This window comes from Homo sapiens, chromosome 2 (genome assembly GCF_000001405.40).
Source record: "Homo sapiens chromosome 2, GRCh38.p14 Primary Assembly".
Classification (NCBI taxonomy): domain Eukaryota; kingdom Metazoa; phylum Chordata; class Mammalia; order Primates; family Hominidae; genus Homo; species Homo sapiens.
The window spans coordinates 237,388,695-237,415,387 of NC_000002.12; the positions used below are offsets into that span (position 1 = coordinate 237,388,695).

Below are 26,693 nucleotides of genomic sequence, written 5' to 3' on the forward strand. Positions count from 1 at the left end.
TTCCTCAACCCAGTATGTTGCTGGATGCCTTCAGAAACTATTGTTTCTTCTCTTTTCTTTAAAAACCAAAATGACCTTGTACATGCAACTTCGTGAATCAGAACTCAAACTACATTTAAAGTTTTCATGTAAAAAATACTTTGATGAAATTTTTGTTGTTCTTTTTTCTCAAATGATGTTTAGTTGCATAAAACTCAAATGCAGGTCTGGGATTGGGCAGGATGTTTTGTTCATTTATTTTGTCATTGCCTCTATATTCAGTCACTTAATGCAGAACAATGTTAAGCAGAGTGATATGAAACCGGTCATGACATAATTATCCAACCTTGTTTTTATGACATCCTAAACTAGTTACCTAGAAGGACCATGAGCATCGAATAAACCCTGATTAGAATTAGCCTGGGGTTATACAAAGGGCAGAAAAACAGCTGACCAAGACCTCTTCTCTCCCCCATAATGGCAAACAGAGAATTCCCAACCTGATGCTGAGAACGGGGTTATATAGCAGCCCTGAGGGAGGAATAGGGATCGAGAAATCTAAAAGTCAGGGCCAGAGATTTCACAGCATCAGTTCGAATGTTTAAATTTGGCTGATTTAAACTCAAGGAGGAGCACAATTATTCTAGTCGATGTTTTTGATAACTTGAGTATGTGTTAGGGACAAGAAGAGATTATATGTGAGCTTGAGCTTATCTATTTATATTCTGGGATTCCAGAAAACTACACTCAGGGTATCATTTTTAAATGATGGTAATATTATAGGTAAGACCATTCACTCTGATCTCTGATCTTTTCAATGACAGTGAACATTTTATATTTAAAATTAATGTTTCCTTGTGCCAACAAAATTGTTTTTGTTCTCACTGTAGAAAAGGATCCAAAGCTTGTCTCACAAAATTGAAGAGTTCTGCTCTAGTGAAATTACATTCTTACCCAAGCTCTTCTCATTGTGTGAACTGAAACAGAGATTGCCAGGTTCGGAACTGCCCTCTTCCCTTCCTAATATACAAGAAAGTTCCTAACAATATATTTGCAGATTAATTCTTTGCATAGGGAAATATATTAACCTGGCAACATTGCTATCACAATCCTTCTTATAAGATACAATGAGTAGGATAATTGTTGTGCTACAGTAATTAAGATCTTGTGTTTTTAGTAATTGCCACACAAAAGTTTTATATAAGACTAGGCCCTTGATTAGGGCCCAAAGCATTTGCCACTGTTCAGCCAAAATATAAGATTCCTGAAGGATCTTCAAGAGAGTGTGGTGCCAGGGGGTGTGAATTACACAGAAGGCCATAGAAATGGCCTACATCATTGCATAATACAGAGGCTCCACAAATTCCACAAAATTCCTCAACATTTCCCAGGCCTAAACCAATGACCTCAAAGGACACGGAAGGATTTGCCACTTCCTCAGCATATCAAGACGTTTAAAAGAAGGATTAAATATGATCAATACAGTCAAGCTTTTAAAAATGATCCCTAAGTCGCAGGATAACACTATTTCTTCTCCATTTGTAACTTACTTTTGGGTTGAAATTTATAGTCATGCAAATAAGATAAATGGACCCTGAGGGAAAATCCTTGAACATTCTCTTGTAAAAGACTGAACATCTACAGTGGCCAGTCATAGAAACACGTTGGATAATTTGTCATCACTGAATAACAACATTATCCTCTTACACACACAATAATGGGACATACAAGGGCATGCTTTGTTATTCAAGAGAGCTGAAGCCTCAAGGGCACACAGGGGCCATGTGTGCTTGTGTACAGCAAGGCGGACCAATGACCAATGTTAATGTTACAAGGAATCAGATCTATGCACAATTTAAAAGCTTTAAAATTGTCTGGTTTTCTGCTTCTATGCTTTATGTATCACATCCTCTGTGGTGTTTTCTACAGAAAAGTTTTACAGTGTCCAAGGAAAATTCACAGTTTCCTTTGACATCCCTGGAAGCTCTTTTCCCGAGCTCACTGGTGTGGGCACAATGCCTTTCTTAGCTCATGTGATGCCTCCTTTCATTAAGAAAAACAAGTTCCCATTCTTGTTTCCTATGTAAAACACAAAATTGTATATATATTTTACAAATTTTAAAAATCTTCATCCTTTACAGAGAAAAGAAAGCTGATGCCAAAATCCTCCCTGTCACCTTTAGCTTTTGTTTTAAAATAAAGGTTTTATATCTCAGGTATATTCATTTTTTTAAAGAATGACAGAGGGATTTTTAAAAACACAACCATTAGAGATTGATTATTTGAGTAGAGTTCATTGACAACAGTGGTGATCGTTCATATTTTACACATATGTGTGTTTTATAATCAAGAACACTCTATGGGGAAGTTACCCAGCAGACAGGTAGTAAGAAGAGGCAGCCCTAACTAATTAGCAATCTCTATAATGCTCTTCTAACTGGCTTTCCAAAAAACTATAAGCAGAGATGTACTGTTCTTCCTAAGATTATTATCCTATGTTTTTGCCGTGGAACATGCAGCGGGACGTGGTACTAGGAGGAACTGCAGAGTGATGTTAATTAGAAAAGACACATGAATGGATTAATTTTCTGCCCTGGTGCTGCTAGTGGCTTGGACACTAGAAGACAGAGATGCTTTCTTGGCATAAAAACAAAGGTTTTATCATCTGTGTGGAAACACACGATGTTGGTAGTTTCATTTAGCATTCACTATGGTAATCTCATTGTTTGTCCATTACATAATGGTTAAACATAAAGGCAAACTCAGCTATTTTTGTGAGTATAACAAAACGTCAATAAAAGATGTTCCATTTCTCTACTGGTCCCTTTCACTGTTTGTTTGTTTGTTTGTTTGTTTGTTTGTTTGTTTGTTTGTTTTAGACAGAGTTTCACTCTTGTCACCCAGACTGGAGTGCAGTGTCACAAATTTGGCTCACTGCAACCTCCACCTCCTGGATTCAAGCGATTCTCCTGCCTCAGCCTCCCGGGATTACAGACGCCCACCACCACACCTGGCTAATTTTTGTATTTTTGGTAGAGACGGGGTTTCACCATGTTGACCAGGCTGGTCTCAAACTCCTGACCTCAGATGATCCTCCCGTCTCAGCCTCCCAAAGTGCTGGGATTATAGGCGTGAGCCCCTTTCACTATTTTTTGGTAGGTCTTTGTTATTATCCCGATATTCCGAAATGTGATGGATCAGGGAATTAATGATACTGAGACTATCGTAGCGAGGAGTGCAGTTCATTGTAGATACCCTCTTGTCATTTCCTGGTAACCTGAGTGTTTGGTTTGGGGTGCTCTTGGAGACACCCAGCTTTTCCTGTCATTTGGCAGGACTGATGCCTGTGTGGTAATGCCAGGGGTGAGGCCTGTCATTTGGAAGCAGGGAACACTTTGCAGTGTTTGAACTGCCTCTCACTCTTTCCTATGGAGAAGCAGACCCACAGGTAAGGGCATCAGCACTGCCAGCCCCGTTAAAGCTGAAATCAGGAGTAACCACTGGGAAAACCATTTTATGAACAAACTTCTGAAACACCCTGGAGCTGGCTAGTTCTGAAACCCTCTTCTTCATCAAGTTCTGCCTGCTCAAGACAGCTAGTTCCTTTCTGCTGATGTTGGGTCATCTCTCTTCAGCTCCTGCTTTCTGAATCCTTGTTATGAAAAACTGACATCTGGTACTGCTTCTCTGCAACTGCTCCAGCATTCTGATTGCAATCTTGCAATTCTTCTGCTGTCCCTCCGATGTGGTCCTGTAGAGTGATGTGTGCCTCCAAGCCTCAACTCTCTTTTTCCTGCCCCACCATCCATGTGTATTCACAAGAGACTGACTCTCCATCAGTCACCTCACCTCCTACCTCCTGTCCCAGTGGCCATCTTGGTGGTAACCATTTTTAAAAGTGTAGGAGAAAAATCTGTTCATAAATCTTGCTTCCTATGATCAGTTCCCCTATGCCATGTGGTTGCCCACTCATTCTTTTTTGATTCAAAGAATTATCCACTTCCTCATGCCTACTAAATACACAGAAGAGAGTCTCCAACATTCCTACATGATTTAGTTACATTATGTTCAGCCTGCGTTCACACTGCAGACTCTGTGGTCATCTCCAGACTTTAAGGTCTGTATGGACAACCTTTGTGAGCACCACCCTCTCTGGTTTCTGCAGTGGCTGGCTCTCTATAGTTCCTACACATCTGAGGACCACACTGAGCACCATTGGAAACTCCTCCAGCCCCGCGATTGGCCCTCAGAGGTCTCCCTGTCTACACACCAGCAGCGTCTCCAACTTGCACACTCAGCTGTCTCCAGGACTCTCCTTCCGAGACCTGGCCTCTCATCCTCTGGCTCTTCAGAGGTCTCCTGGCCCATTCCAGCTCTCATTAGCTCCCCATGCAGCTAGGACACCATGGCAGGCTGTTTCAGGAATTTACTAGCTACCACTCTGGATTTCCTTACTGAGAAAATTTTCTTCTGTCCTCTCTATTGTTCCCTCTTTGCAAGTTCCAGTTCTGGGAACTCCTTTGATCCTGGGAGTGCCTGAGATATCTGCAGAAAGGCAGGGATCCACACTAATGGAGACACCCACTGACTTGTAATCTCTGATAGCAACTGGATGCCACTTCAAATCAGCAGTTGCTTCCTGAATGTTTTGTGACCCCTCTTCACATCCCTATAGCAGCTGATCAAAAATAACTTCAATCCCTCCAAGCCCCCAAGCCCCACTGCTTCCCTCCTTTATTGAGATGATGGATGTCAACTCAACTTGAACTCTCTCAATGTGCCTCTTATCCACCTGAATATCTTGGAAACACAGCCCCTTTTCTCATGCCTTCCCTCCATCTCAGAGAACATGTGTGTCTCCTTTCTGGAGCTCAACTCTCCCCCTGGATTCCTCTCTCATTTCCTGCTCATTCCACCCAGAATTCTCTGCTACCAACTATCAAATGGCTGCATGGACTCATTTTCTAACAAGGGGAGGTCCCTCTGCTCTGCCCATCGCTGATGAGTAAGCTCTGGGCACTCATTACAGTTGCTGTGGTATGGTAGAGTTTGAAATTGTACTTGTCAAATTCCTTCCCCATTGGCCATTTAGGCACTTAGCCCTGGAAGGAGAGCTAACAGGCTTAACTGGTTAAATAACCTGTCGGCCAATTAGCTCTGTACATGCAACTGCACATGACACATCGATGCAATGTCCGTGTGCTCTCAATACTTCCAGAGTGGTTCTCATCAACTCCATTAGAATTAGAAGAGTCTCTGTGGGCACAGCCATGATTACCGCATGGAGAAGAAATAAGAAGACCAGACCCACAGCCCAAATGCACAGCCTCCAGCTCCGGCTGTCACTAACCATTCAGGACTAAATTTTTTCCAAAATCAATCTAGACTGGATCATAGCTGAGGTTTCTTGTAATTCCGATTCTACCAACACTCTTAAATTAACTCCGTAAAGTAGAAGAGAGAAGCTCTCTGCTAGTCCACTGGACACAAAAACAGATGCCCTCGCTCCCGTCTCAGTTCACGCACTCTCCAACAGGGAGCTTTCCTTAAAGGAAACAGATCCCAACACCAAATAGAGGAGTTTGATCAGATGCACACCTCACCACTCTGAGGCTTTCTTTTCTAAGGAAGGCAGAGGTATTTTGTGGGATCATAATATTAGAATGTGGGTTTTTTTAGACTGAAAATATTAGTTGTTTAAAAAAAGACTCTTCTTGTATGTAGGTGAATGCCCTACTTGGGGAGAAGACTATGGAAGAATATTCCAAATCAAACCTTTGTTTTTAAACCTGTGAACACTCATCTCTTCCCTGGCCCACCCGCCATCCTAGCTGTTGCTTTAAGGCCAGCAGTTGCCAAGCTCATCTCCCAAGAACAGCAGGGCAGGGCGTAGCTTGGTGGCGTTGCCATTACCTGTGATGTCTTTAAGGGTTTCCGTGTCCCCAGCCCTTTCTGGACTCACGGATGAATGCACACAGGACACTAAGTTTCCTACTATGTCATGAAGTGAGGTAAAATTCTCTAGGTTGAACATATGCATATTGAGCGGTTCACTTGCTATTTCTTTTAACGCTCCTTCATCTGCATCCTCAACTCCAATTGCAAACACGTTAACATCAGCAGACTTAAGTTCCGCTGAGGGCAGAGCAAGGCCATCCTTCGAGTGTCCATCAGTTAACACTACGATAACCTGAGGGACTCCGTCACCGGCCCGGCTTCCAGCAGCCTTGGTGAGGTGGCTTTGCATTATGTATTCTAATCCTTTTCCAGTCTGATTGGTTCCCCCAATATAAGACATGTTGGAAATATGAGAAAGGACTTCTTGTTTAGTACGATACGTATTTAACAGGAACTCGGTATGTGGGTTTCCGTTGAACTGGACCAGAGCAAAATGGAAATCATTTTCTCCCACAGCTAAGGATTTTACAACATCATATAGAAACTCTCGAACAAGTTGGAAATGTTCCTCTCCAATGGTCCAAGAGGAATCCACTAGAAATATTATATCAGCAGCCGCACCATTTTTGACATCTTTAAAAAAAGACATTGGTTTAGATTTTTCTACTATGTAAGCAATTACTTCCTATCAATGCAAAGCCTTCCTAAACAAATTTGGTTTACACTATACTGCTACTAAACACTTCACACCTCACTGATAATACAGGAAGGTAGACTCACTTACCTGGGAACCAGGGACCTGAGCCCATGCACTCAATAGCTGCTGGTGCCCAGTCACTAGCCCAAGTTCCATACTCAGAGACCATCATGAATGGGCCAGTAGCATGCTCCAGATTGGGGAAACAATTTCCTGGGCTGTCTTTAACTCAAGTATGATTCCCTGTGGCAGTTTGAGCCCCAAGACCCACCTGATTAAACCAGAAGGAAGTCTTATCACAGACAACCAACCATCATTTTATAAATTCATTCTTTAGTTTGGAATACAAAACCGGGCCTTGACAAAAAAGGAAAAGTAAAAATTGCTATTTTCCATTCACTAACCCCCAATGCTTTGGGTAATTTGCGTGAAAAATAAATATAATAAATACATGTTCTTTAAGCGAGGAGGACTTGTGTAAATGTAGAGAAGGGAAAAGACTTATTTTTTCCAGATTTTTTGAGCATGAACAAACTGTACTCTATTAGTTACTGCATATTTTTCAGAGCCAGAAAAGTCTCCATAGATGTCAAACATTATCTATCTCATTTCCAGATGAACCCAGTTCTCCCTCAAGGGTGGGAGCTCAGGGTATCAGGCTGTCAGTGGCCCCAGGAGGTGCCCTTCTGCAGCTGTGAGCCAGGCTTGCTGCTGGACTCTACTTACCTCAGGCTGACCTGATGCCCCAACCCACGTTCTTCTTCCATTGAAGTGACACTAGACTTCCCTCCATCTAAGAGCAACCTGGCCTGGAGGAAGAATCCCTCAGAGGCCAAGCTCTCTGGGTCAAGGAGAGGGAGACCCACCTGAGTCCTTTCCAGCTTGCAATGCATGAAGCATTTCCCACTTTTCTAAAACTCTGAAATCAAATTCTTAATAGAGTTAATTAGAACCCATGCTTTTAATTCGTTTTGGGAAACAGAAATCTTAAAGATTCAAGGATCCTAGATGAAAAATGCCTTCCTGCATCTGGAGTTAGAGAGAGAGGGTGATCTTTGTATTTTTCAGGGAAAATAGTTTTTACTCTCAATCATTGACTTCTCCCTACTTTATGTGCTCAGAGACCAGCCAATGCCAGAAATGTGGAAAGTCCCTTCAGGTGGTAAAACATTTGAGATACAAACTTTCCGTTCACATCCAATGTAAAAACAAATCATTTTCAAGCCAATTCCAAGATACCAAACCCAAGTTTTAATAAAAATAGGTCATCTCTCACTGGATAAAGAGTATCTGAAAAGGCCTATAAATCCTAGAACTATCCTATCTGACTATCCTATAATAAATGGCTTAGCTACCTTAAGAACATATCTAAGCTCTATGTCAGTGCCTGATGTCTAAGATCTAAAATCAAAGAATGATATTCCTTTTTACAAAATCAAGGACGTTTCTGGCTCTTACCTGCTTGCTGCTGCTGGGCATGAGTTGTAGGAAAGCCTGAGAGAAAGAGGCAAAAGACGGCCACTAAGGGCAAGTGCCGATGTTTCCTCATTTTGAATTTGTCTAAGCACCAAATATGAACCTAAAAGAGAAAACAGGGCAAAGGGAATGATCAGTTTTTGACTCTCATTATGCAAAATCTCTCAAAATCCCATGCTTTCTACGTCCTTTTTAGACTTCCAAGAAGACTTTGTATCTGATTCATTCTTTGAACCAGCAGCAAAAGGATGGATGATAGACAGTTAGATAGATGATAGATAGATAGATAGATAGATAGATAGATAGATAGATAAAAATCTATACAGATACATACATGCGCACATATATGCATATATAAAAGGAAGGAAGGAGGGAGGGAGGGAAGGAAGGAAGGAGAAGGGAAGGGAAGAGAAGGGAAGGGAAGGGAGAAGAGAAGGAAGGTAAGGGAAGGGAAGGAAGGAAGAAGTGAAAGAAGGGAAGGAAGGAAGAAGTGAAGGAAGGGAAGGGAAGGAAGGAAGAAGTGAAAGAAGGGAAGGAAGGAAGAAGTGAAGGAAGGAAAGGAAGGGAAAGAAAGGAAGGCGAGAGGGAGGGAAGGAGGGAAGGAAGGAAGGATGGAAGGAAGGAAGGAGAAGAAGAGAAAGAAGCAGAAGAAAAACAAAGAGGAGAGAAGGAAAGAAAGAAAGAGAGAAGGAAAGAAAGAAAGAGAGAAAGAAAGAGAGAGAGGGAGGGAGGGAGGGAGAGAGGGAAGGAGGGAGGGAGGAAGGGAGGAGGCAAGGTGGGAAGGTGGGAGGAAGGTAAAGAATAGGTAAGTGAGAAGTGAATAGGCAGAGCTCTCTGTCTAAAGGGACCTCAGACCTCTTCTTGTTAGCAGAACATAGGTCACCTGTAATGGCACTGCTCACTCTCCTCTCTGGACATTCTTAAACATAGTTCAAAGAACACAATTACATTTTTAGAAAATAGGCATTCATAGTAGTTTCTCCACAATCTGAAAATATTCTCTTTCTTTTTCAAATTACTAATGAATGAAAAATTTATCCATTATGAAAGATAGTTTTGATTAAACATATAAATGAGAATTTTTGAATCTAGTGACTATTACTTTGGCCACAGCTAAAAAGCTATGCAATTAAACCTTCTTTTCCTCCCTAAGTGATGTACGCAGCAATTTGGAAATAGCATATTCCTAAGCAAAGAGCAGAATGGAAATGGGTCAGGAGTAAAAGCACTCATAGGCACAAGGCATCAGGTTTTGACACCCAGCTTAAGTTTGTAAGTCATGTTTAAAAGAACCTCAGAGGAAAGTTTCAGTTTATGGAGAGAACGGGCTTTGCCCAAATTACACCAAATGCAACCCAACCACAGCAGCTGGGACCATGTCAAGCCTTGTCCATATTCTCTATTAATATTTAGCACTTTTCCTCCAAGGAAAATCTGCCATATGCCAACCTCCAATCTCACAGTGGAATGAGCCTGGGGTGATTTAATTAGTAAGACTGTGAAGCCAGACCTGGAGGCTAACTGCCCTGATGCAGAGTCTCCCATACCCACGCGCCTCTGGGGGCCGCACACATGATGCCCCACCAGCCAAGTTCACATTCACTTCAGCTCAGTAGCGTGCGCCATCAGACCTTTCCCCTGCCAACACCTTTTCTTCCTACCACAAGATCTTGTGACAGCCTCTTCACTCTCCAATCTCCAATCTAAGAGATCAGCTTGGGGGCTGGGGTCTCCCTTAAGACCCCTCCAGAGAGCTAGGGTCTTTCTGTCTAGGCTGAAGTCCCCTTGCCAGGACAGCATCTTTTTTCTCCTCTCCTTAATGCAGGATTCTGGTTTCCTTTAACTTTTTCTTAGACCACAGACGGGGCTGCCCACAGGACCCTGTGCTCTGAAGGGCCCCATGCTCAGTTTGATGCTTTGATGTTGCTATCTTGGAATTCTTAAAACATTTGAACGAGAAGCTCATTTTCATTTTGCAATGATGTGCATGTCAGTGACTCTTCTTACCCAGACTGGCCAGGGGTTCCCCAGTTAGGAGCTCTCTGGTCAGGGGTTCCCTTTTCAGAGGTTTGGGTAACAGTACTGGGGAACAAGGCCATTGGCGACACAGGTAGGCTAGGATGTTATTAAACCGCTGTTTTGGGTGCCATGTTATCAAAAGTTATTCAGCATCTACTATGTGATCATTGCAGTTTTTCATAATTTTTCATAATGTGTGTTATTTATCTTTACATTATCCTTAGAGGTAGATGCTGATCCTCATGCTTACAGGAAAAAATGGGGGTGCAGAGAATAAGTGGCCAAGGTGCACAACTATTCAGACACCTTGGTGCTCAATAGCACCTGCCACACTGAGGGTTCATAAGATGAGAGGATAAGAAGAACATTTTTATTTCTCCATGAAAACCCCACGATTCCATAGCAACTTTTCAATCAAGTTCACCAGCCTGAATTTGGGCTTTTTAGGAATCAGAAAAGGAGCCAGAGATGTTGGGGAAAGACAAGGTGCTTGGAATCAGATAAATCTGGATCCTGGATCCACCATACCCTACCTCAGGCAGGTGGTATACTTGCTCAAAGCCTCCATTTCCTCCTCTATAACACAGAACAATGATAGCCATGCCTCTCTTCCAGCCCTCTGTGAGGAGCATGTGGTAGCCTGTTTGGTAAATGCCTGACGCGGAATGGATGGTAAGTGAACTCTAACTACCATTCTCCAGCAACGTTTCATTCATCAGCATTTCCCAAAGCACATTTCATGGAACACCCATTCCATTCGATGTTCTAAGGGGAAAAACAGGCATTCCATGAGCAACGCAGTTTGGAAAGTGCTGAATACCAAGCCTCCTTCTGGAACAGTTACAATATACCTTAATATATAGCAGTTCTGAAAAATAAAGTAAAGAAACCTGCTGTACTTGATTTAACCCAGAATTCCCCAAACACATTTCATGGGCTATTCCTCTCCATGTCTAATTTTGCTAAGCTCTTACTCCTCTGAAGCAGCAACCAAAGGCATCTCCACCTGCCCAGGCCTCCACTGAGCCCAGATCACTGGGTTTGCAAATATCTGCTCTCTCGGACTCCATTAACTGTAAGTGGGACCCATGTCCCTTGATGGTGGAGCTCACTGCCTCCCTGTGACCAAGTGAGAGAATTAGAATGGGTAGACGACTGACATTTCCCCGGAGAAGCCCAGGGGAAGGACCAGACTCAATCTCATTATCAGCATGAACTTTCATGACACTAGTTAATATTGTCATTTTTTCTTATATTGAGTTTCAGGAAGAATTATTTGATATTGGAAATGATATAGTGTAGACTACAGTTAAATTAGAAATTCCATTTGACTTAAGAAACTGAAATACATATAATCTAGGGAGATTGAGTTTTCATCATCATTTCACTGTTAGGGTTTGAAGGTTAAAAAGAAGTCTGTTTCACAGATTACAGCATGTAAAGGCATTCAGCATCAGTGTGAATGAAAATCAAAAACATCTTTCTGGGTATCAAGTATATGTCAGATTTTGAAATGTGACTTTTTTCATCTTATAATTCTAAAACTCCAAATGCTTACAGATTGGTTTTATATCCCCTGCATCAGGAATAATTTGGCAATTCCCTGAAGAAAGCAAGGGGAAATGAGAGCAAATCAGGCACGTGAAATTGTTTATACAAGACTTTGGAAAGACTGACAAGACTACATGAGATCTGTAAGAAGTGAGGAAAATAGCACACCAAGAAACTGGATAACCTAGAAAAAAAATAGATATTTGCTTGAAATATACAATCCACCAAGACTGAATCATGAAGCAATAAAAAAAATTCTGAACAGACTTAAAATTAGTATGGGGTTGAATCGGTAATCAAAAACCTTCCATAAAAAAAAAACAAAAAACCCAGGACCAGATGTCTCTCCTGGAAAATTCTTCCAAACACTTAAGGAAGAATTAACACTAATCCTTCTCAAACTTTTCTCAAAAAAATTAAAGACAAAGGAACACCCCCAAACTCATTTTTATAAGGCCAATATTGAAAAGAAAAATACAGACCAATATCCCTGATGAACACTGATGCAAAAATTCTCAACACAATACTAGCTGACCAAATCAACAGCACATTAAAAGGATTATACACTCTAACCAAGTGGAACTTATTTCTAGAATGCAAGGATGTTTCAACGTATGAAAACCAATCAATGTGATACACCACATTAACAGAATGAAGGGGTGGAAAATAGCAAAGCTTGAGACCTCACACTTATAATTTCAAAACATATTACAAAATGGTGTAATGAAATCAATATGATGCTGACTTAAAGACAGACATATGAACCAATGGAACAGAATAGAGAGCCCAGAAATAAAACCTCATGTATATGATCTTTGAGCTTCAACAAAGCTACACAGTGGGGAAAGGCTAGCCTCCATCGTATGAATGTTCCTCAAAAAACTGAAAACAGAATTATCATATAATTCATCTATCCCACTTTTGGGTATATCCAAAAGAAGTGAAAACAGGATCTCAAAGATATATGTGCACACCCATGTTCATTTCAGCATTATTTGTAATATCCAAAAGATGGAAACAACTTAAAAGTCCATCAATAGATGAGATGAATAAAGAAATTAATTCATTTCAACAGTGTTTTATAGTTTTTAGTGCACAGGTTTTTTTCTTCCTTGGTTAAGTATATATATGTATATATACACACACAATGGAATTTTTTGCAATTATGAAATTGATTATAGATTTCCAAGGCTGCTTTATCATAAACAAAGAGTCTTCCAGGACTGTGAAGCTCAGCCACACTCTGAGCACAGAGTATGGCAAAATGCCTGTCTGTATCATTGTAGGTGTATAATAAATATTTGTTAAATTCATTAACTGCTATTCCTACAGTTCTCCTAGGACTTTGCACTGTTATTACACCACTTATACTGTAATTTTTTTTTTTTGAGACAGGGTCTCCCTCTGTCACCCAGACTGGAGTGCAGTGTCACGATCACAGCTCACTGCAGCCTCAACCTCCCAGGCCCAAGCAATCCTTCCTTCTCAGCCTCCTGAGTAAATGGGACTGCAGGCACACACCACCCCACCCAGCTAAGCTTTGTATTTTTAGTAGAGACAGGGTTTTGCCATGTTGCCCAGGCTGGTCTTGAACTCCTGGGCTCAAGAGATCCTTCCACCTTAGCCTTCCTAAGTGCTGGGATTACAGGCGTGAGCCACTGTGCACGGCCTACTGTATTATACTAAGTCTTATACATGCCACATACAAGGAATATTATTCAGCTTTATAAAAGAATGAAATCCTTTTATCTACTACAACATGGATGAATCTTGAGGATATTATGCTAAGTGAAATAAGCCAGTCACTAAAAGACAAATGCATTACTTTATAATTCCATTTATGTGAAGGTATTTAAAGTAGTCAAAGTCTTAGAAAAAGAACCTAGAATGGTGTTGGCCATGGGCTGTCAGGAGGGAGGCAGTTGTAGTTACTGTCCCATAGGTATAGAGCTTCTGTTTTGCAAGATCAAAAAGTTATAGATATTTGTTGTAGCACAAGGTGCGTATAGTTAACACTGCTGTACTGTACACTTAAATATAGTCAAGATAGTATGTTTTATGTTATATGGTTTTTACCACAATTAAAATAGAAATGAGGACAGGAAATATCATTTGCCAGGTTTTAAAAGCATGGGTAACTACCCCTAAAATGTAGCCATCAATTTAACAGGAATGATGTAAGTGCAGCATCTCTTTTTTGAGGTGTGATAGAGTTTAAGAGCTACTAGGAAAAAACAGTACAACTAAACATCCTAAAGTGTGTCTACATGCCGCTGTATTCAAATAACACAATGTTTGCCCTTACTTCTAAATAAGATTTGGAAAGAAATAAGAAAAGAGTATATGTCATGCAAAATGTTAGGGTTTGGCAAAGAAGATCAGAGTCTCATGAAAGTGGGAAAGAATCTAATATGAACATTCAGACCTGGTGCAAACATGGCTTCTGCCTTGACTAGTATCCTCTGAGCTTTGGAATCGGCTCCACCCAAGGCCTGAGCTTTTGTATCTCTATCTTAATCTTCCTCTCTCCACAGGTGCCCCCATGGGCTCTGCAAGTCTTCATGGTTGTCTGTTGTGTAGCACAGGAATTCCATTTTCCCCATACAGCTAATGAAATCAGGGATGAGGATGATCTAATGTTCTCAGCCTTGCCACCTGAAGATTGATAGCAGAGGAGAGTCTGTCCGGCTGATGAGTGATGTAACTTTGCCATGAATGGAGCAGCAGACTAGTGTCCAGATGGACCACTTAGCAAAGGTACAGGGAGAGCCACAGAGAGTGATTGAGGCTGCCAGTCAAGGACAGGAGCTAAGTGGGTGCAAAGGAAACCTGAAGCTCAGTCCCGTGGATTTGCCGTGAAATTCCTCCTGCCTGAGGTCAGGCCCAGAGGGAGAAGCTGGAGTCCAAATCTTGCGGCCCAGCTATGAGGAAGACGGAACACAGTGTGGGCCCTAGGCCTGACCCGCCAAAAATTGGTGAGATGGAGACAGATGAAGCCACAAACAAGGGAATGAACACCAGGACCCATGTGGCTTTGGATTTCCAAAGAAAGTCAACAAAAAGTACCACCTGTGATGAAACAAATGTACCCTGTGATTCAGATTCTGAGAACTTGAAGCCATGATCTCAGCAGCTAAAATAGAACCACCTGTCAATACAGCAGTCTCTTGGAAATGCATCAACAGTGAGAAAGGAATGCTGTTCTAATGATGCTCAGGAGGCCAGTTATCAACAGAACAGATATTTTTCTGCAACAAAGTGACAGCAATGAGTGGTGATAGCGGCAGTATTGCAAAAGCTCAGCCCGATTTTTTTTCCCTTGCAATGGTCACTGCCTTTTGGACATGGATATATGTTAACACAATGTAGAAGAGCAGTCTCCAGTGCTTGTGCTGTGGTTTGATAATGCTCCCAAGCTTTAGCCCGGTCGCAGCACAGCAGGGCTCAGGGACCCCCGACAGGCTGGACTGCCTGTTCTCCTCCCTCCACTTAGGTTGACCCTACCCCCACCGTGCCACAGCCCCAACTTTGCCCCTTCACTCTCTAGGAATCCCTCAAGCCCATGCAACCCTGGGAACCTTCCAGACTTTTCCACCAAGCTCTACCTTTCTTCCCTACAGTCTGTTAGACCCATTCCTGAGTGTTTCTTCAAATAAAAAAAAAAAGCAATTGCAATATCTAATTTTTTGTATGACCTCAATTAAATAATGATATACACTTCAGAATAATATAAAAGTACATTTTATATGTGCTATTCTTGATTCGTTCTATCAAGCTTGAGCGTCAATTTTTTTTTAGCAAAGGTAAGCTTCCTGCTAGATTCTTTCTAAGAAAATGGCCTGTTCTTTCCAAAACAACCTGTATTATTGTAACTGGTCCAGATCAATGTTTTAATACGGGATCAACAGATTCAAAGAGTCTATGATCCTCCCACAGTTGAGTGCAAAATTGCATCTATGGATGAGGGTTTTTCTGGAGATAAGGGTCCATGTTTGTATGTGATTCTAAAAGGCAGTTGTGCCACTCCTCACCCCCCAAAAGTTTAAGCATCACTGCTTCAATTAAAAATTTTAATGCAAATCTTCTGGAAGATCCAGTTCGATTACTTTAAATGTTTAATCCATGTTCAAGAGGCATGATTTTAAGTGGTATTTTTGTTTGTGAATGAGAACACAAGAGTATTATAGAGGCTCTTTGTAAAGCATTCGGCTTTGTAATCCAGGTGGAAAAAATAGGACATGATAAGATGAGAGCTGTCTCCTCACTGTTGAGTCTGGGATGGGAAGAGCTGCAGACACCTGTGCAGGGAGCATTGACAAAGAGCACAAGTGAATTATGCCTTGAGCAGGTTTTGCTAATGGTTTTCTTAATCATTCCCATACCTCACACAGTGAAAGCCTTTGAATCCACTGATTCTGTCACATATAAAGCATTGAGTGGGCTCACTCTGGAGCAATTCCAAAATTACATTTCTCATCTTCCAGAGTGCTCAATACAATCTAAATAGTTACAAAATAAAATCCGGGAAGTCTAAGACATCACTCACTTACTTCAACCATTCTGAGTAAAATGAACTTTTAGTTCATTGAAAATCATATGTAAAGATTTTTATTTTCAAGATGTGAATCTTTGGAGGAGTAGCCCCCTCAGTGGAGATACTTCCCATTGGAACACAAAGTAATGGGATAAATACACTGTGCACAGGAATTATTTTATCCAGAATATATCCAGATATTGAGGGAAGAGGAGGGGAGGGAAGAGAAGGAAAGGAGCCCTTCCAGCTCTGAAAAGGACGGGAGATAATGCCTGTAGGACAATGCGTTATCCAGGCTCCACTGATGATTCAGAACCCATATGGTTTGACTGAGCTGAATTCCCAGGTGGGAAAAACGCCTTTGGCCCCACACACTTTCCTGCCATCATGCGGGAAGCAGGTCTTGTGGCTCGTGGGCTCCTAGCCCAGCTGTTGAATATTTGCTGATATTTTCGTTTGCAATTAACTCTCTTCTATTGTTTGTCATGTCCTGGAGTCTCCATTTATAAAAAAACGAAATTCCCTGGCAGCAAATTTTGGAGAACTTTTTCATTTAGATTATTAAAAGATGTCAAACACCATCTCACCAGATGACCACCCGCCCTCTTCAACAAGAGGGAATGAGGCAGCCATCCGCGCTCATTCCCCGACACCACCCTCCCGGAGGAAGGAGAGAGGAGAGTGCTGGTAACGTTTCCTGGGCTTCTGTCTTGTGGGTGGGATTTCACGCCCTCCTCCCAACCATCCGATGGCTGATTTCCCTCCATTTTATAGCTGAGAAATTGAAACCCCAGCAAGGCAAAGTGATTGTTCAAAGCTACATAGATAAAAACAACATAGAACCAGAACCCTAACCCAAGTTAGCATTTCCAAAGCTCATGGGAAGAACCCCGGGAAACCCTAGAGGCTGTGCCAGATTTGGCCCAGATCTCAAGGAAACTCCCCATGCCTTTTGGGGAAAAAATAGACTTCCTTGGTGGTGACACACCACAGATTCTATGTCAATGGAAGTCGGCTGTCTACTATCATTCTTTCAAATATGAAAAAAAGACTCAGAATTGGCTGCTTGAGATCCTTGGGCTGGAAGGGGTCTGTTCCTTCATCCTAGATTCTGTGTCCTAAAGGAAACAGATTCAATAAGAGACATTCATCACATTTTCATTCTCATCTTTCTGTTTAGGATTATTCATCTTTTTGTTTACTCTGCCTCATTCTAAAAAGGATTTGAGGTGCCTTTTTCCGTTTAGTTTCTATCCCTTTGAAATTTAAAAGGATACCTTTCATCAGAAAGATTGCCCTACATGGCCCTTCAACCTGAAATCATATTCAATCATATTCCAATGAATATGATTTCCCAAGCTATTTTGCAATTCTGTAAATTAGTTTTCATTTAGCCTACTCAAAACCTTTTTCATTTTCCATGTCTGGAAATCTTTTTTAAGAAAGAGACACACACGCATGCACACAAGGAAATAGTTTGAAAACAAAGACTCAAATAAATCCAGAGCTTCCATTTTGAAGTCATTTATTTGGTTTTCTCCAAGCACTGCTTTTTAAAATCAGCCTGTCCCTCCTATCAAGTTCTGGGACTTCTGTTAGTTCCTAATTGTCCTGTTTAAAATGGGAGCAGTGGAAATAGTCAAAGACCACAGTGGGAGAGCCGTGCACACTGACTGTGAAATAGAAAGTCAAATTTCAGTAAATTTGAGGCACTCATCCACCCTTGCCTTTGCCACGCCCATTCCTAGACTGCAAGAAGGAGCGCCCCATTTCTTTCTCTTTTTCTCACTCTTTCTCTCTCTTTTTGCACGAATCCTGGGAAAGGAGTCCCCGTTCTTTTCCTCAGGGAGGAAGCTAAGAAAGGATTTATTAAGTCCTGCAATTAGGGTAGGAGGAGAGTGGAATTTAATATGCTCTTGGTGTTTGAAAGACCCAAAGGAGAATCCTCAAAAGAAAATGTTTTGGAAGAGCTCCAAGAAACCTCCAAAGAAATATAGCAAATTTTGTTTTTTTACTGTTTATTTAACAACTTGGATTTCACATTTCTTTCTTTTTTCCCTTTTTTTTTTTTTTTTTTTTGAGACAGAGTATAGCTCTGTTGTCCAGGTTGGAATGCAGTGGCATGATCAGAGCTTACTGCAGCTTCAACTTCCTGAGATCAAGCAATCCTCCCACCTCAGCCTCCCAAGTAGCTAGGACTACAGGTGTGCGCCACCACGCCTGGCTAATTTTTTTTGAATTTTGGTAGAGACAATATCTCACTATATTGCCCAGGCTGGTCTCAAACTCTTGGGCTCAAGGGATCCTCCTGCCCTGGCCTCCCAATGTGCTGGGATTATAGGCATGAGCCACTACACCTGGCCTTTGAATTTCTATTCTATGAAAATACTCTAGAACAATAATCTGTTTGACTCAAACTGAATGTGTATCCTGTGATAGCAACATTTTAAAACTCTTCTCATCAGGCAGGGTAACTAGACCTCCTTTGTCACCTACTGGGGTCCTTTGTCACTTACGGGGGTCCTTGTTAGATATGGAGTAGCGGATTCGAGATCTTCAACTCTTCCTGGTAAAATCTAACAAAGCAACACCTGTTCTGCAACTTGTGGATTATAACAAAGCAATGCAGAAAGAGAAGGCCTGGACATCCCCTACCAATGCCCTCCCTCTGTGAATGAGAGCACCTGTAAGAATATGCCGACCTGCAGCCAGGCTTAGGCCAAGCTCCTCAGAGGTGGGTCTCCTTCCCATTACAAAGGCAATTAAGAAACTCCAGATTAATTACCCAGATATTTGAAAAAATTACTTTAAAACATATTCCTAGCATTGCAGATAATAACCATGAGGCAGAAAGTTCCATATCTGGTGTGATTTGAAAAGCTAGACGCCACCATGCAAATGTAAAACACATTCCACATTCTGAAATATACGGCAGCCAGACAAGATTTTGTCTGCACTTATACTGCTAATTATAAACATCAGGCAGAGACTAGTTCCATTTCAACATTAAAGAAGAAAGGTGCATTAGAAAATGCTTCAAGAAATATTGCACAAATGCCCACTCCATTCCAACTCCTTGCCACGTGACGCTGCTGGATCCAAATTGGAGCTTGGCACTTATTCCTGTCTTTTCCTTCTTGGCAATGAACTAAGGTGCTACTGACCTTTCCAAAACTGTGGTGTTCCACTGTAAATGATTAAAGTGGCTGAAAGGTGCTCTCTTTGTAAAGAGAAAAGTTAGATATTTTGTCTGTTTTCTAGTCTAATTTATAATCAAGTAGAGAAGATAAAATCATTCTTGAAAACAGAAACCTTTTCAAAAATCAAGTTGGAACATCTGATAAAATATCATCCATGCTGGATTTATTGCAGTAACCTGGGAAATTCTACTTCCTTACTGCCTCTGTCAGCAATGGTCGGCCAATCTCTCCCAGCCTCCCTTTTGTGTAAAAGAAGGCTCCTTGCCTGTTGCTCGAACAGGCCATAGTCCTGCGACTGCTCTCTTCCATCTGTTGCCCTGGGCTCTGATGAATGATGGGTTTTCTGCAGCCCCAGTTAGAAACAGAGCACCCTGGTGCACCGCCGGGCCGGCTGTGGGTTTAGCTGAGTTGGCGCTAACTCTGGGTACCGGCCCTGGGCTGCTGAATCAACTAATGAAGATTCCAGAAGTGAAAAACCAGTTTCCTGGAATGGTTTCCCTTGAGATCTGAGTCAACTCCAGCTGCTGTTCAATTTTTAATTTTGAAATTAAACCGAGCCATGAGCTCTTCCTTCCAGTGACCAATTCCTGATGCTCTGGGTTCCTGAAAACCTAATGTATAGCACACACAGGGGGTTTTACAGAAACATTTCCCATTGTACTTTTCCCTGGCCACTTGCAATTCTCAAATGTTTCTCTGTAATTCATGAGTTTAAACTTCAGGAGAACAGTAGGATCATACTATGCTGAATGCAGCCAGACCCCTACAAGACTAACAATTTGCCTTTGGGAGAAGGTTTGGCAGAACTTTTCGTATTTGTTTTTTTCTTCTCTCCTTTTTCTTTCCAGATTTTTTTAAGCAACAGTTACTCCTCTGCTGAATCAACTTAAAAGAGGCTACTCCAAGGAAGACTGGGAATGGGAAGAGTACCTTTCTCCACATGGCACCCTAAAATACACTCTTAAAGGCTTGTCCCCCTTGAAATGTCCAGATTCCAAGATGTCTGCATATTGGAAACATCAGACAATTCTGCTACTAGCTCTGTGGCCCTGTCACTGGGCATACCTCTCTGAGCTCTCTTTCTTCATCTGAAGCATAAAGGGCGTGGAGAAACCATCCACCAAGGTAGTAGTTTTTTTGATATTTCAATTAGCCAAACAGAAATTATATGTTTGCCAACCAGAAGAGAGGGGGCTATGTCTTAGTCATTTTTTTAATATTCCCCAAGAATGTATTCTCTTTTTTTATTATTTTATTATTATTATACTTTAAGTTTTAGGGTACATGTGCACAACATGCAGGTTTGTTACATATGTATACATGTGCCATGTTGGTGTGCTGGACCCATCAACTCGTCATTTAGCATTAGGGATATATCCCCTCCCTGAACCTCAGGGCTCAAGGCCATGATGCACAATAGGTCTTGTTAAACTTAAGTAAACATGAGAACACAAAGACCAACCAAAGGGTTAGGTTTTTGTTTTTTTTGTTTGTTTGTTTGTTTGTTTGTTTTGCTCTGAGCTAGAATTGTCTCCCTCAGAGTCTTAATGCTGGTTATCTCAAGCGAACAGACATAAATCTGAGAGTCAGTAATATATATTTGTATTAATAAATATTCAAGACGAGACATTCATAATCATAGCTTGTGTGAATTTTTAAAAGTATGTTAAAACCCATTGTCCATTATTAGGGGAAAGTATCAAAGGACATGTCACGAGCACCCTTACAGTTCTAAAATCCGGTAATTCTACAGGGATACGCAATGGCATGAATATGCAAACCTACTTTGGTTCTCAAGCACCCGACTGTTCATTTAAACCTCTGTAATTAGATATGGGTAAAATGCTTCCTATAAAATGTCTTATTTGCTGAATACCCTTGTAATGCAATTGTTTGGGAACAAAGATGCCTCCTTTGATGGCACAATTTCATCTCAATACACTTACACCTGAGCAGAGAAGAAAAACAAAGCTCTAACGTATGTACACTTCCGTTATTATGAACAGCCACAATAAATATAATAATGACAATCATGTATTGAAATATCAGTCCTAAAACTGCCCGCAAGCTCTGCTGAGATGGTCATCACTGAGTTACTACAAACCCTGAAACTCCACCCTGGGAGACTCCAGGCACCACTTCAGAGATTTTTCTGAAGCTCGCAGAGATACACCTCCCTCTAGAGGAAAGAAAACCAAACTGCCTTTTCAAAAACAGACCAGGATGAACGTGCTAACTCAAAATTTCTTTTCTTTTTTTTTTTTTTTTTTTCTGAAACAGGGTCTGGTTCTGTCGCCCAGGCGCTGAAGTGCAGTGGCATAGTCACGGCTCACTGCAGCCTCAACCTCCCAGGCTCAAGTGATCCTCCCAACTCAGCCTCGTAGCTGAGATTACAGGCACATGCCACCATGCCTGGTTAATTTTTTAAAACGCTTTTGTAGAGACAAGGTCTCCCTATGTTGCCCAGGCTTGTCTCAAACTCCTGGGCTCAAGCGATCCGCCCACCTCAGCCTCCCAAAGTGCTGGGATTACAGAGATGAGCCACAGTGCCCAGCCCTCAAAATTTCATCTCTTTCCCAAAATGGACTATAAGACCAGAATGTATTAAAAATTATATTTTTCAAAATTAACAAAGTGAATTGTTGAAGGGAATATCTCTGCAAAATCAGGACCTGTGGAATACTCCCTGGAAATAAGACATTCATGACCACACATTAGAGGGGGCAAGCAACATGTTTTATTTAAAGAATAGGATTGTCCTTTCTTTGCACTGAATTTTTACACTGAATTCCACTGAAGTTTTACAGTGGAAACAGAGAAGCTGTATCTAGAAACGGGAGAATGAAGATAACCATTCTTGTCTAGTTCATGGCTGTCTGAATTAGTAGGAAACTTTAAAGCTCCCCCACTTTAAAATTTGGAGGGTTTGCGGCTTTCATTTTCTTAGCTAGAGCTAATAGGATTTTCTTTAAATGTCAGGTCCCTCCTCAAATCGTCAGCTATTTATGTAGCAGTGATGTGTTTTTTACTGCCTGCTTGCTGCAGCCAGGACACCATGAAAAGTTTGCTCCCGTAAGTCAGGGTGGAAAAGCTGCCTGGTACACAACATCCCTGTCAGATGGAAACCGCCTGCAATCCTTCCCCCAAGAGATAGCAGATTTTCAGCTTCTTCCAAAAAGAGCAGTGACAAAACTGAACTTTCAAATAAAAATTTTTGCTAAAGCTGTTACTGCGCCTGCAAGGAAGTGTCACGCAATAGTATTCACGACTTGCCGGTGAATTTTAAGTCCTAAACATGGAATTTCACATATAAGTGGGAGGTGATATCAACCGCTGGTGAAGACTACGCTTGATCCAGTTGTCTGAACACTCTGAGCAAGGAAACAAATGAAACCTCGCTGGCAAAAAGTCACTGCCAGCTTCCAAAGCTTCCAAAGAAGGCGGTCTTGTTTCAAGCTGGCTTTAGGCATCCAGGTCTATGGGTTCCGTTCCTGAAACTAAGGTCAGGATGAGCAGCCTCATTGGAACCATAAATCAACAATCGACTGAAGAGAGGAGCTTCTTCCTACTTTCTCATCGGGGACGTATTAAGTTCTAGGATAGGAAATCACAAAAGGCACTGATGATAAAGTCAGTGCAATTTGCTGAGTCCTGAATGCTTTAGAAATAAAATGAAGTGTGAAGTAAAGACAATTTTTCAGAAAGGTGCCTACCTCGTATCAAAAATATCATTCAGACCCCAGGTTTGGACATTTGCCACATGTCCCCTCACCTGTGGGCCACAACTATAGTGGGGTGGAACACGCTCCCTGCCAAGCAGGGAAAGAGCGGGGCCAAGGGCTAACATTCTAGAGGCTTCCCCAGCCACCTCCCAGAAAGGTGCTGTAGCCACACCCTCCAATGCCTGGATAGGAAAAGCCAGGACAGCCTCACTTCACCCCAACATGGAATTCCTTCCCAAGCCCTCTGCTCCACTCAGTGTCTGCTTCCTGGCTTCTCTCGACCATGAGTGAGGAAAGGAGAGAACTAAACCTCTGGGTAGCAAGAAACCCCCTAAACAAAGAAGTCCAGACAGGCAGCTGTTCCTACATCCTGATCTTTGTAAAAGCCACGCCTCCCCACCCAGGCTTTCATCCTCAGCTACAAGCCCACTTCAGAAAGAAGAGCATACAGGTCCCCTCCTTCAGCGCCCTCCACCCCCAGGAGGTGGCCTGAGCAGGGCGGCCAGCCCCGGTATTCCGGTCACGGAACCGATGCCCCCGCCCCACGGTCCACCTCCCTTCTTTCTCGGTTCATTGGTAGAGTCTTAGTGAGCCCAAAGCAGTTTTCCCAACGAGATGTGAGTTATTTGGGATCCTCCGTCACTGGCTTGTCTGCTCTCCTTCAATGGGGAAGGATTTCACTGCCATCTCAGGCACTCGCTCCCTGGCCTGGGCAAGGAATTCCGCATCTCAGAGCCCCTGGTTGCTCATTTTGAAAACCAGGAAACTACTGCATCAGTGGCTTCTGACCAAAAATCTCTTCCATTATCTTTAGCCCAACAAAAACCTCAGAAGTCCCAGTAATGTCATCAACGGCCACCCACTCAGTTTTCAATATAGTTTTGCTTAGGAGCAATGTAACTTTGATTTTAAAGCCATTTCGGTTGTTTTTTACAGCATTAAGAATGGGACCCTGGGGAGCTGGGGGATCCCAGGTTGAGCATCCACCATCCCCGTGAGCTCTGAGCACCCTGCAGCTCTAGCACCCTGTGGTCCTCGCCGGGGTGAGCTGTATGTGGGGAGAGAAGCCAGTCAGCCGGGGCCACAGCCCTGCCTCCCCATCCAGCACAGCAGACTCCCCTGTGCTCAGAGGGGTTTGCTCCTGGGGTCTGCACCGGCCTCGAAACTGGCTCCTGGGGCTTCCTGTGGAAGCAGATTTTTCTTTAACCACTCCCTAGTCCCTCCCAGTGACCCCACCCATACTTCAATACCCGTTCATTATCCAACATAGTAGGCCCCTTGAAACAGGTTCCCCAAACAGGCTGGCCACTGTCAGCGAACGTGTCCATCCTCAGCAAGAGAGGGCCCGAGCCCCACCCTGCATCCTCCGGGCCAGAGAACAGCCCTCGGGGCCTCCCAGCTCGGCACTGGCCTCACCTCTGTGCAGCATGGGCTGGCCCTGCAGCCCCAGGGGCCCTGCCTTAGACACTCAGCATGCTGCCCAAATGCCCAATTCCTTCTTCTCCTCTGACCCCTGCAACTCCTTTAAGCAACCCCAAGGGACAAAGTCTCCAATAGAGACTTCAGGTTCCTGGAAAGACGAAAGCTTGACGGCAATGACTGAGCGACCCTTTACTTGGCCCTGATCCTGAGCACCAGAGTTACTCCAATCTTGTGAAAGCAGCAAATGTGCTCCACCAGGACCTTCCCATGGGCGGCCCTGGGCAGAAAACCCATGCAGGTTGTTGCACCCTGACCTAGTGTCACCACCCAGAGAGCTCAGAGAACATCTCCCAGCGGAGCCGCCCGGCAGGGAGCTATGCTAGTCCTCAGCAAAGACGCTTCTGCAAACAAAGCGGATCCCGAATGGGTTTTAGAAGGCGGCAGTAACTTAAATAAATCATGGGCCGAAACACACTGCCGCCCGGAATGCACAGGGCGCGTGTAGCAGCCACAGACACGCGGTGGAAAAGTGCTCACACTCTTAGGCAATCATGACCTTAACCAATTTAAGGAAATCCCATTGCCATAAAGTGAGAAAGAAAAATCAGCGGAATCTTCCAGAGACCTAAAACATGTACAGAAAACTGGCGATCAGCATGAACGTAAGAGCCACTAACGCTACCTAGAAAGGATCACTTCAGGTTAAGAGCATTTCCTTCTAGCCCCAAACCTGGAAAAACAGAAGAGAAATCACACTTACCCCTGAGCAAACCTGAAGGCGTGTGTCCCTGGGCTCCTCGATTCAATTAGGTTTGAATAGGATGCATACTTTTCCCACTCACTGCGTCTCTTTTTCTTTTTGCAGCCTTTCTCCACCAAAAAAGTGGAGACTCAGAGCTGCGGAGGAAAACTCTTGCAGTCCTTGCAGGAGGCTGGAGCCCAGGAGAACTGAACGGCCTTTGGTGGAAGACTGAGCTCCAAACTGGACTGGGGCCAGGGATACCAGTCAGGGCTTCCTCCAGCTCCTCCTCCTCCTCCTCCTCCCTCCCGGACCCCTCCTCTCCCCCTCCTCACTGCAGAACTGACCCAAAACTGTAAATGAAACCAGACTCCTCCACTCTGTTTCTTCTGGCCCCCGCTCAGGCTGATGTCACCCTCTGAATTCTGTCTTCACCCTACAAGCGTTTAGCTGGACTCCTGCAAGCCCCAACTCTTAAAAAAAAAAATTGACCACTCCTACTCGTCACCTTTTGGGCTGGGCCCTTGGCGTCAAAAAGAATAAATTTTGGAATTTCTTCGTGGGTATCCATGGTTTTCCTGCAATGTTTTCCAACACCATCTGAAAGGAAAACAGGAAATGCAGTCCCCCGCTTACCCTCACCACACCCTCCCATTTCTTCTTGAAGTTTCTGAATTGAGACTTCTACTAATAACTTCCCCCTTCAAATAGAAAAACCAGCAATTAAAATCGCCTTGGTTTTCTGTTAACCAAAGCTCTGTTCACCGGCAAAAAAAAGGAGGCTACATTTCTCTTAATTTCTATATCTAATGATTCTGATTGTGGCGCTTATAGGCCCATTCTAGGCACAGACGGGGTAATAAAAATGGTTATCTTGCCAAAGCTTCGGGAAAATACTTGAGTAAGAACTTCTGTTTCTAGAAAGCTTTGCACATTTCAAAACACTTCAATATACATTCTCTCCTTTATCACAAACATCAACACCCTAAGCCCTTTTAAATAGAAAGATGTCTTCTTTTATTAGGTGAAATTGTGGTCCCATTTTACAGATGAAAGAAACAGGCTGGGCACGGTGGCTTATGCCTGTAATCTCAGCACTTCGGGAGGCTAAGGCAGGCAGATCACAAGGTCAGGAGTTGGAGACCAGCCTGGCCAACATGGTGAAACCCCTACTAAATCTCTACTAAAAATATAAAAATTAGCCAGGCATGGTGGCAGGCGCTTGTAGTCCCAGCTATTTGGGAGGCTGAGGCAGGACAATTGCTTGAACCCAGGAGGCAGAGGTTGCAGTGAGCCGAGATGGCGCCACTGCACTCTAGCCTGGGCAACAGAGTGAGACTCCAAAAAAGAGAAAAAGGAAAGAAAGAAAAGAAATGAAAAGAAAAGAAGAGAAGAGAAGAGAAGAGAAGAGAAGAGAAGAGAAAAAAGAAAAAAAGAAAAGAAAAGAAGAAAAGAA

At 42.7% G+C, this 26,693-nt stretch overlaps 1 protein-coding gene across 5 annotated transcripts in view; it reads right to left on the reverse strand.

The window, feature by feature from the left end:
* COL6A3 (collagen type VI alpha 3 chain) overlaps positions 1 to 25,470 on the reverse strand; it is a 90,147-nt gene extending 64,677 nt beyond the window's left edge. For 4 of the 5 annotated variants that reach the window (NM_057166.5, NM_057167.4, NM_057164.5 and 1 more), the window contains exons 1-2: positions 25,259 to 25,470; positions 8,033 to 8,153 (exon numbers count right to left, since the gene is read on the reverse strand). In NM_057166.5, coding sequence (NP_476507.3) covers positions 8,033 to 8,123 — 91 coding nt within the window. In that variant the 5' untranslated portion in view covers positions 8,124 to 8,153; positions 25,259 to 25,470. Of the gene's footprint in view, positions 1 to 5,892; positions 6,511 to 8,032; positions 8,154 to 25,258 lie in introns of all 5 variants that reach the window. The other variant, NM_004369.4, reaches the window with a different exon arrangement.